General features: G+C 45.5%; 1 long non-coding RNA gene across 1 annotated transcript in view; it reads left to right on the forward strand.

The window, feature by feature from the left end:
- The window catches only part of LOC105376197 (uncharacterized), a 63,129-nt gene that overhangs the window by 27,568 nt on the left and 23,389 nt on the right, over positions 1-12,172 (forward strand). The window lies entirely within an intron of this gene.

Raw genomic sequence — 12,172 nt, forward strand, 5'->3', positions numbered from 1 at the left:
AAAAGGCTCTTGCACGCAGACCAGCTATTGCGTCTGAGGACTAAGAAGAAATGCAGCCAGGGTGGTGCCAGACCTTGAAGAAACCCTTCTTCCCTGTGGTTCTCAGGCTCTCCAGCCTGACCCAGGAAGGGCAGGAGAGGTAGAGGAGCACGGGCTGGCTTTGAGTCAGACAGGCCCGGGTTGGAGTCCCCATTCTACTGCCTGTGGGGCCTGCAGGCAAGATTTTAACTTCTAACTTTTTTTTTTTTTTTTTTTTGAGACAGAGTTTTGCTTCTGTTGCCCAGGCTAGAGTGCAATGGCGTGATCTCAGCTCACTGCAACCTCTGCCTCCTGGGTTCAAGCAATTCTGCTGCCTCAGCCTCCCGAGTAGCTGGGACTACAGGCGTGTGCCACTGCACCCGGCTAATTTTAGTATTTTTAGTAGAGATGGGGTTTCACCACGTTGGCCAGGCTGGTCTCAAACACCTGACCTCAGTTGAGCAGCCTGCCTCGGCCTCCCAAAGTGCTGGGATTATAGGCATGAGCCACTGTGCCTGGCTGGCAAGATTTTAACTTCTCTGAGTCCAGTGTCTTCATCAATAAAGTGAGGATAATGACGCCCAGAATTATTATGGGAATAAAATAACATGAGGTATGTAAAGCACCAATAAAGTAGATACTTGGTGGTTGGTAGCTCCTTTTTATCACTTTTTTCCCTCCAAGACCTCCTAAGGGAAACAATTGTGATGCAATGGGAAAGACATGAGATTAGAGTTTGAGAAACTAAGGTTCTAGTTCAACTACTAATGAGCTGTGTGACTTTGGGCAAATTACTCAGTCTCCCTGGGCTTCACTTTCTCCCACTGAAAAATCTTAGATTAAATAATCCCTAAGGGCCCCTCTATCTCTGACTTTCAATATTAATTATAATTACTATCAGGAAACAGTTGCTGTGTGCCAGGCATGTTGATCAGCAATGCACATGTATTATCTTATCAAGTATTATTATCTTTACTTTACAAGTGAAGAAAATGAGGTCTATAGGGGCTTAAGAACTTTTCCCAGACTGTATAGCTAGTAAGGACAGGCCAGGAGGTGTTTGCTCTGACTTACATGTTTAAAGAAAAAAAACAAAAAACAAAAAAACAAAACTAATTAACCTAGCCCCAGGGTTCTAAGTCTTTGTACTAAACGGGTAATAAAATCAAACCACTCTGCAGGTTCTAGGTCAGGTTTAAATGGCTACCAATTCATGAAACTGTAACTGGGGATTCAGGCCTGAGGAATACTAATCACTTGTCGCAGAGTGAAACAGGCCCAACAGAGGAGACGCTCATATCAGAAGGTGAGAAAAAGGTGCTGCAAATGGTCATTCCTGAGACTTTCAATCAGGGCACCAAGAAGGCATTGTGGTGGGGACCCAGAGAGCTATGAAAACTGGCAGCTGTCAATCAAGTGGGCAAGCAGAAGCAGTCCACAGCTAGGGATCAGTACAAGCAAGGATGGCAGAGGCCTCTCTGCAGTGAAACATGGGCTCAAGCAGAGATGCAGGCCATTTGAACTACACCACTCTGGAGTGAGTAGGGAAGAGGGAAAGCTGTGACTTGGCAGCCAACTGCTATCCCTGGGGACATAAGCCCCTAGTCTGACTGGCAACAATACAACTCAGGAAGGCGTATCAAAGCCCAGCAGTCATGACCAGGCCAGGGAGCCCAGGGCTGAAGAACTGAACTGTTGCTAAGCCCTATATCAGTTGTCTATTGTTCCATTTTAAACCATCCCAAAACTTGATGGTTTAAAGCAACAAAGATGGCCAGGCATGGTGGCTCACACCTGTAATCCCAGCACTTTGAGAAGCTGAGGCGGGTGGATCACTTGAGGTCAGGAGTTCGAGACCAGCCTGGCCAACATGGTGAAACCCCGTCTCTACTAAAAATACCAAAATTAGCCGGGCATGGTGGTGCATGCCTGTAATCCCAGCTACTCGAGAGGCTGAGGCAGGACAATCACTTGAACCCAGGAGGCGGAGGTTACAGTGAACTAAGATTGTGCCACTGCACTCCAACCTGGGCAACAGAGAAAGACTCTGTCTCCGAAAAATAAATAAATAAAAATAAAACAACCAAGATGTGTTATTTGTCACAATTTTGTGGGTTGGCTGGGCTCAGATGGACAGTTCTTCAGTAATGCCAGCTGGGTTCACGCACGTGACTACATTTAGCTAGGAACTCAGTGGGATTTGAACATCAAAAATGGCTTCACTCTCATGTCTGGCAGTTGGTGCTGGCTACTGTAAGAATTAAAGAAAGACGAAAGAAACACGAAAGGTGGTTTGACAGTTAAGGACAGGTTTATTTTAGAGAAAACAAACCTGAGAGGAGCTTCTGGCCAAGTTAGGTCAGAGACACAGTCTTACAGACTGAGTATTTAAGGATTCAGGGCAGGAGAGTTTATCAGAGGCTTGGACTGCTTCTGTGTCTCTTTGTTGTGCTTATCTGGGAGGGAGAGTTTTGTGTATGTTCCCATACATCTTCCTGCACCTGCAGGCATACCCCTGAGTCTGCTTTTAGCTTCCCTATCTTAGTGCACCTGAAGGGAAAGGAATGTGCTTATTAAGGCCCACTGTTTTACTGGGACCCATTGTATGAGGGTGAAGCTTAGCTTGGCACTTACCCAAGAGACTTCCCCCTAACCTCCCTCTGTGCCCTAGCTGGTCTTATCTGTGTTTTACTGTCTGCTCTTTTTCGCTGCTTGTTGTTAGAAGAGAAGTGATTTCCTTGAAATGCATAAGGCTAGAAAGGGAGCTGGAACTTAAAGTGGCAGTGTTTGTCAGAGATGACAGTGCTCCTGCTCTGTCAGCTACCATCTGGGACACTTCGGTTGTCTGCCACATGGTCTTTTATCCTCCAGGGCCTTTTTCTACATGGTCTTTCCACCAGGATAGCCTGGCCATCTTTACATGGCAGGTGGCTTCCAAGAGAGCAAAATCGGAATTAGGTCAATAGACAAAGAATCAGCTGGATTTATTTATACTAGCAATGAATGCTTTGAAACTGAAATTTTAAAACCAGTACCACTAACAGTTCCAAAACATGAACTACTTAGGCATAAGCTAATCTACAAAACACTAACGAAAGAAATTTTAAGAGGTAAATAAATGGATACTCCATGTTCATAGATTGGAAGACTGGATGTTGTTAACACAACAGGTCTACCCAAATTGATCTGTAGATTTATGGAAATCCAGACAGTACCCTCATCAAGGGGGCAAATTGTTATAGATACTTACGAGCTGATTCTTAAAAAGGCAAAGGAACTAGAATAGCCAAACCAACTTTGAAAAATAAGAACAGCAAGTAAGTGGTTAAACAAATAGACACTACTGAGCAATACGAATAATTGAAAGACTAAGTACACAACTTGAATGAATCACAAAGTCATTCATTATTCTAAGTGAAATAAGCTAGAAGACTCAATTATTATTAATTATTATTATTATTATTTTTGAGACAGAGTTTCACTCTTGTTGCCCAGGCTGGAGTGCAATGGCATGATCTCGGCTCACTGCAACCTCTGCCTCCTGGGTTCAAGAGATTCTCCTGCCTCAGCTTCCCAAGCAGCTGGAATTACAGGCATCCACCACCACGCCTGGCTAATTTTTTTTTTTCAGATGGAGTCTCACTCTGTTGCCCAGGCTGGAGTACAGTGCTGCAATCTCGGCTCACGGCAACCTCTGCCACCCAGGTTTAAGTGATTCTTATGCCTCAGCCTCCTGAGTAGCTGGGATTACAGGTGCCTGCCACCAAAAATTAGCTGGGTGTGGTGGCACGTGCCTGTAATCCCAGCTACTCAGAAGGCTGAGGCAGGAGAATCGCTTGAACCAGGGAGTTGGAGGTTGCAGTGAGCTGAGATCACACCACTGCACTCCAACCTGGCAACAGACTGAGACTCCGTCTCCAAAAAAAAAAAATTGTATTTTTAGTAGAGACCGGGTTTCACCATGTTGGCCAGCTAGTCTCAAACTCCTGACCCCCTGATCTGCCCACCTCGGCCTTCCAAAGTGCTGGGATTACAGGCGTGAGCCACTGGACCCAGCCTCCAGCTAATTTTTTGTTTTTTAGTAGAGAGGGGTTTCACCATGTTGGCCAGGCTGGTCTCAAACTCCTAACCTCAGGTGATCCACCCGCCTTGGCTTCCCAGAGTGCTGGGATTACAGGCATGATCCATCGAGCCCGGCCAACATTTATACACTATATGATTCCATTTATATGTCATTCTGGAAGAAGCAAAAATATAAGTACTTTCTATAATCAGGACCATGTGGCTGGGCACAGTGGCTCATGCCTGTAATCCCAGCACTTTGGGAGGCCGAGGCAGGCGGATCACTTGAGATCAGGAGTTCAAGACTAGCCTGGCCAACATGGTAAAACCCCGTCTCTACTAAAAATACAAAAAATTAGCCGGTGTAGTGGCATGCACCTGTAGTCCCAGCTACTCAGGAGGCTGAGGCAGGAGAATTGCTTGAACTCGGGAGGCAGAGGTTTCAGTGAGCCAAGATAACGCCACTGCACTCCAGCCTGGGCAACAGAGCAAGACTCCAACTCAAAAAAAAAAAAAAAGGTCATGTGATATTGAGTATAAGATAGATAGAGAGGCCACCGTGCCCGGCCCAGTGTCTTTAATAGAGCAAAAAAGAGACCTATACACATAATGGTCAATTGATTTTTGACAAAGGTGCAAAGGCAACTAAATAAAAAAGTGATAGACTTTTTGACAAATGGTGCTGGAACAATTGGACATAAATATGCAAAAACATGAATCTCGACCTACAACTCACACCTTATACAAAATTTTTAAAAATGCATTACAGATCTAAATGTAAAAGGTAGAATTAGAAAACTTTTAGAGGAAAATATAGGAGAAAATTTTAATAATCTTGGATTAGGCAAGGAGTTTTTAGTAGGACAACAAAAGCACACTGTGAATAAGTTAGACTTAACATTTTTTGCTCTATTAAAGACACTGGGCCAGACACGGTGGCTCACGCCTGTAATCCCAGCACTTTGGGAGGCTGACACAGGTGGATCACTTAAGATCAGGAGTGTGAGACCAGCCTGCCCAACATGGTGAAATCCTGTCTCTACTAAAAATACAAAAATTAGCTGGATATGGTGGCACATGCCTGTAGTCCCAGCTACTTGGGAGGCTGAGGCAGGAGAATTGCTTGAACCTGAGAGGCAGAGGTTGCAGTAAGCCGAGATCACACCACTGCACTCTAGCCTGGGTGACAGAGCGAGACTCCATCTCAAAAAAAAAAAGACATTCTAGAGAACACAAAAATATAGAGGTATAGAATAGATCAGTAGTTGCCAGGGGTTAAGGATTGACAGAAGGTTTGACTACAAAGAGGTTACATAAGGGAATTTCAGGGAATGAGATCACCATTTATATTCTGGTTGTGTAAGTAGTTACACAACTCTATGTATGTGTCAAAATCACAAAATTATACAATAAAAGAGTAAATTTTACTGTGTTGAAATTTAAAAATAGGACAGGCGCGGTGGCTCATGCCTGTAATCCTAGCACTTTGGGAGGCCAAGGCGGGTGGATCACCTGAGGTCAAGAATTTAAGACCAGCCTGGACAACATGGAGAAACCCCATCTCTACTAAAAATGCAAAAATTAGCCAGGCGTGGTGGCAGGGGCCCATAATCCCACCTCTTGGGAGGCTGAGGCAGGAGAATCGTTTGGACCCAAGGGGCAGAGGTTGCAGTGAGCTGAGATCACGCCACTTCACTCCAGCCTGGGTGAAAGAGCGAAACTCCATCTCAAAGAAAGAAAGAAAGAAAGAAAAAATTAAAAATAAATAACATATAAAACTCAGCCATAAAAAAATCTAGTCAGGCCCGGCGCGGTGGCTCACACCTGTAATCCCAGCACTTTGGGAGGCTGAGGTGGGTGGATCACAAGGTCAGGAGTTCAAGACCAGCCTGGCCAACATGGTGAAACTCTGTCTCTACTAAAAATACAAAAATTAGCTGGGCATGGTGGTGCATGCCTGTAATCCTAGCTACTCCAGAGGTTGAGGCAAGGGAATAGATTGAACCAAGACCTGGGAGGTAGAGGTTGCAGTGAGCCAAGAACGCACACTGCACTCCAGCCTGGGCTACAGAGCGAGACTCCATCTCAAAAAAAAAAAAAAAAAAAAAAAAAATCTAGTCAACATTCCTCCAGACCCACCCTGGAGTGGACACCAAGTATCATCCTCATAGCAAACAATTTTTTTTAAATGTTCAACCTCCTCATTAATTTAAAAATGATAATTTAATCAAAGCAATACCATTTGCCTCCCCATTATATAGATTGCAAAACTTGTAATAATACCCAGTATTGGCAAAGGTATGATAAAGTGGGTACAATCAAATGCAACGAGTTGGCATGTGAATTGGTACAGCCGTTTTGGAAGGCAATATGGCAACATGTATCAAAAAGCCTTAAGTGTTCTTACTTCTTGGAAAAATAAAGCCACTTCTAGGACTCAGTCGTCATGAAATAATCAGAGATTCTGATGAGGAACATTATCTTTTCTGCATTGAAATACTGTCTCCCTCATTACAGGGATAGACGTGCAGCGGGTCCCAAATAAATGCTGCTAACTTTCTGGATGGCAACTAACTTCTATACAACATCTTGCTTCCAGCCAGGAGTCTGGTTGGAAGAGAAGCCTTCTACCTCCTGGGCCTCTTTGGTCAGGATGCTGCCTTCTGTGTATCTTTCATTGTGAATGACTAAAGTGACAATTATATGCCCAATGATTTCATAAGCAATACCTCTTACCATGCCCACAGAGAGAGTAGGGGTTCTTTTTCCAGACTGAGTACCTCGTAAAAAAACAAACCCAGGAGACCAGATGAGATAGAATCAAAGAGGCAAGAAAGTCAGTTCAGTAGATGCTGAGAACTGCTGGGAAATCCAGGGAATTCAGGCTGCAAGGCTGTCCAGGCTGAGCCCAGGCTACACTGACAGACTCAGACAAAAGCTGATTTCTAAGGAGACCTGTGAATTCAGGAAGATAGCTCAGCTTGGCTCAACATTCAAGAGAGAAGAGAAACATCCTGCTCAGCAGCCAGAGAAAAAAGGGCTTAGCTGAGAAATGCCAGGCACTAGCTTTTGAATCATTGGGAAAACATGGTCACTTTAAGATGAAGAAAGACCCTGACACAGGACTGAGGGTCTAGGCCTTGTCCTCAAGCCCCACCTGCAATCCCCATCTGCTCATAACAGCTATTCTCTTTGTCCTCAGCTATGTTTTGTTTTTTTTTTCTTTTTTTTTTTTTGAGACGGAGTCTCGCTCTGTCACCCAGGCTGGAGTGCGCTGGCACGATCTCGGCTCACTGCAAGCTCCCGCCTCCTGGGTTCACGCCATTCTCCTGCCTCAGCCTCCCGAGTAGCTGGGACTACAGGCGCCCGCCACCACGCCCGCTAATTTTTTGTATTTTTAGTAGAGACGGGGTTTCACCGTGTTAGCCAGGACGCTCTCGATCTCCTGACCTCGTGATCCGCCTGCCTCGGCCTCCCAAAGTGCTGGGATTACAGGCGTGAGCCACCGCGCCCAGCCGGTTCTCAGCTAATATTTTATTAATTCCTTTGCCCTATGCTGTTATATGGACACTGTAAATCCTCGTCCCAATCCTGGCTGTTTAGACAACCGCCTCTGCTCTGGCTATGGTGCTCCAGAGACCTCAGTCCTGATGTCTGGGCTCTCTCCTCTGTCCGCAGGCTCTCAGGCCCCACTCTATCCAGCATCTACTTCCCCTGCACATGCACACACACACCTCTCACTCCCTTAGTGGTTATAATAGGCACTGTGAGGGCTTAGTCCATGAGACTAAGTGATTAAGGAAGCAAGGAATCTTTTCATATTATTATCTCAAGTTGGAGAACTTTTTTTTTTTTTTGAGATGGAGTCTCACTCTGTCACCAGGCTGGAATGCAGTGGCGCAATCTCGGCTCACTGCAAGCTCCGCTTCCCGAGTTCATGCAATTCTCCTGCCTCAGCCTCCCAAGTAGCTGGGAATACAGGCATGTGCCACCATGCCCAGCTAATTTTTGTATTTTTAGTAGAGACGGGGTTTCACCATGTTGGCCAGGATGGTCTCGATCTCATAACCTCGTGATCCACCCACCTCGGCCTCCCAAAGTATTGGAGATTACAGGCGTGAGCCACTGCACCTGGCAAAATGGAGAACATTTAATTCAGTACGCTGACTCTAACAAGTGACCATTTCTAACACTGAGTGAGCACTCACTGTCTTCTAGGCGCTGTGCCAAGTACTCTACATGCATTATGAATTATTACAATTTAATCCACACAGCAACTCTGTGAGGTGGGAACTGGTACCATCATGATTAACATACTCATTTTGCACATAAGGAATGGTGGGCTCAGAAAGGTTAACCAATGTTCCCCGGACAATGGGGTTAATAAACAAACCAAAGCCATAACTTTGAACTCTTTCATTTAGCAAGTGTTAACAGAGTTCCCCCTATGTGTCAGACACTACTCCGCTAGGCACAGGCACTAGGCTATATTGGTAGACAAGACAGACTTAGCCACCACCTTCAGGAAACCCAGTATCTAGCAGATTAGGTAAACCTCAGGCCTCTACAGCTGCCCTAATTGGCCTCAGAGCCAGGATTCCAACTCATGTTTTCTACAACAAAGCTCAAACAATAACCACAACACTTCCTGCCTCTCTCTTACCGGAAATAGTGTCTCTGTGAGAAACTTGAAGTCTTGGAAGTTCTCAGGCTGAAGTCAAGCTGCATACCTGTATGACCTGACGTTGATGTTGAATTAAGTGCTGTGAATCAGGCTACTGGACACACGGAACCTTTTTTAATACTTTGCTCAAATGTCACTTTCTCAAAATGCTTTTCTAACTACTTGCCTCTTATCAGCATGGCTAACCCATCTTTCCCTGCTCGCTTTTTCATCATGCGTATAATCTTCTTTTATAATGTATTATTTATTTTATTATTATGCCTATTGCTTAGCATGTGCTTACTTGCACTTTTTTTTTTTTTTCTTGAGACAGAGTCTCGCTCTGTCGCCCAGGCTGGAGTGCAGTGGTGTGATCTTGGCTCTCTGCAACCTCTGCTGCCTGGGTTCCTCAGCCTCCCGAGTAGCTGGGATTACAGGCCTGCACTACCAGGCCCAGCTAATATTTGGATTTTTAGTAAGAACGGGGTTTCACCATGTTGGCCAGGCTAGTCTCGAACTCCTGACCTCAAGTGATCTGCCGGCCTCAGCCTCCCAAGGTGCTGGGATTATAGATGTGAACCACCATGCCCAGCCCTTTGCACTTTAATATAAAGTTCCCCCAAGGGCAGGGAATCCCTATCTGTTTTGTTCACTGATGTATCCCAGGGCCTAGACAGAGTCTGGCACACAAAAAGTACTCAGTAATTAATTTTTGTGTGAAACAATAAAGGTGAAGAGCATGTACGGGGTTAGCAGACAGATGGTGCTAATTAGGAATAAAGGATAGGGAAGGAAAACTGAGCTGGGAACTGAGGATAGAAGGGAACGGGGCAGTCAAGAGAGGTGTGCTGCAAGAACTGGAAGGGAGGGACCACACAAGCCCCAGCCTGAAAAACAGAAGACCCTGCAGGCGGTGGAGTGTTTATTCTTCTCTGTGCTCAGAAGCATGTCAGACATGTGAGAGCCAGGAAGCCAGGGTTGATCAGGAACTGTATGGCCTCCTGCACTCTGCAAGAATCCCAGGGAGTCAGGGGGTCAAACGAACAGTCAGGGATTGGGGATCAAAGCAGGCAAAGCTGAAATCCAGGAAGTCTGAGAGAGTAAGATAATGCTACCCATCCACCAAAACACAGAGAAGAGCCTAATCCTGGGGCAGCAACAGTGGAAACTAAGGTTTCTGTCAAGTTTTCTCCCAGGAGGTGTGTAGTCCATAGGGCTGCAGGAGTGGGCAGGGAAGAGAGTATGGTTAGTGGTAAGCTACAGCTGGAGAGAGCTGATTGTGCATTATCTCCTCCCAGATTCATGTTTAGTGTCTTCACATCTGTAGCTTGAAATTGGCCATGGCAGAAGTATTTACACCATGGAAATTGGCAAATGCTATATAAGTCAGGGATTGTTCGCTTGCTTGTTGGGCAGCTGGTTGTTAAATACTTACCAGCACACTGCTGGCATAGTTTACTATAGAACTGAGGCTGCGGGAAGAACTCTGTTCTTGGCTGAAAAAAGAAGGCACTAGAATTGCAGGTAGGTACTTAGGCTAAGGTGTACCCCATGGAAAGACACCTATGCCCTTGGGTAACTGCAGACAGAGCAAAGAGCCAAACTTAATAGATCCCTTCCCAGGGGTTCTTCTGTTCACTATAGAATTTACATGGGGATTCTTTCTCTTAAGTTTGGAAGCCAGAGACTCATTTGAATCCATTTATTCATTCGTTTGACAGGTACAAATAGAGGATCTGCCATGTTGCAGGTTAGTAGCTAGACCATAGAGAAGACAGACTTGTTCCTGCCCTCATGGAATGTGTTGCCTAGCACAGAAGTCTACAAATCATGGCCTAAGGGCCAAATGTAGCTCAGGACCTCTTTCAGTAAACAGTCCTCAAGTTAAGGATGGTTTTTACATTGTTAAAGGGTTGTGAGGAAGAACAAAAGGAAGGAGGAGGAAGATGAGGAGGAGGAGGAGAAAGAGGAGTGAGAGAGACCATGGGTGGTCTACAAAGCTTAAAATATTTCCTATCTAGGCCTTTACAAAAAAAGTTTGCCAACTCTTGGTGTAGCAAACTAGACAAACCTTACTCCTTTACAGCCACCCTAATTGGCCATTAAAAGAACAACGTTTGGCCAGGCACGGTGGCTCATGCCTGTAATCCCAGCACTTTGGGAAGCCGAGGCGGGTGAATCACCTGAGGTCAGGAGTTTGAGACCAGCCTGGCCAACACGGTGAAACCCTGTCTCCACTAAAAATACAAAAAAATTAGCCAGGCATGGTGGCAGGCACCTGTAATCCAGCTACTCAGGAGGCTGAGGCAGGAGAATCACTTGAACCTGGGAGGCAGAGGTTGCAGTGAGCCAAGATTGCACTCCAGCCTGGGTGACAAGAGCAAAACTCTATCTCAAAAAAAATAAAAAAAAAAGCAATGTTCGGGCCAGGACTTACCTGAGGAAAGGACCAGGAGTAGGTCAGGTGACACTAACACAAAGAATGAGGCAGCCGGGTGCGGTGGCTCACACCTGTAACCCCAGCACTTTGGGAGGCCGAGGCGGGCAGACCACTTAAGGTCAGGAGTTCAAGACCAGCCTGGCCAACATGGCAAAACTCCATCTCTACTAAAAATACAAAAATTAGCCGGGCGTGGTGGCAGGTGCCTGTAATCCCAGCTACTCAGGAGTCTCAGGCAGGAGAATTGCTTGAACCTGGGAGGTGGAGGTTGCAGTGAGCTGAGATCATACCACTGCACTTTAGCATGGGCAAAAAAAGAATGAGGCTGGACATCTCCTGGGTTATAACTGAGTAACCAACTAGAAATATGTGTTTGCAAGTATTTGACTGTGTGGACCACAGCATGAGACTGAGGTCTAAAAGTTGAGTTCCAGGAGAGGGAAGGTCAGGGGTTAGTCCAGGAACACAGGAGGGAACAAAGTCAGAGGACCCTTACTGGAGTCAGTAATGAAGGTAGAGAACAATAGCAACAGCAAACACTTCTAGAATGCCTGCTGCGTACCACGTGCTGTTACAAGCACATTACTCATATTAACACATCTAATTCTCCTAATAGCCCTATGAAGTTGGTCCTGTTATTATTCCTGTTTGACAGATGAGGAAACTGAGGCACAGGTAACAAAGTCTTTTGCCACCAGTGACACAGCTACTAAGTAGTAGAGCCAGGATTTGAGACCAGGTAGTATGATTTCAGGATCCATATTCTTAACCACTACACTCCACTGCAATACACTACAGACAGACTGGTGAGGGAAGGTAGGAAAGCAGGTCTTTTTATTTCTAGTTAAGTCTTTTGCTGGGCCCTGTGTCTGTGATTTGTTCCGGAGTAGAGAAGGGACTCTGTGCTTTCTCAAAAGAAGCAATTTCAAAACATGAGACTCTAAGGAGCAGGTCTGATAAACTGCACTTGAACCCAGAGGATGACCAGA

This window comes from Homo sapiens, chromosome 9 (assembly GCF_000001405.40).
Source record: "Homo sapiens chromosome 9, GRCh38.p14 Primary Assembly".
Lineage (NCBI taxonomy): Eukaryota > Metazoa > Chordata > Mammalia > Primates > Hominidae > Homo > Homo sapiens.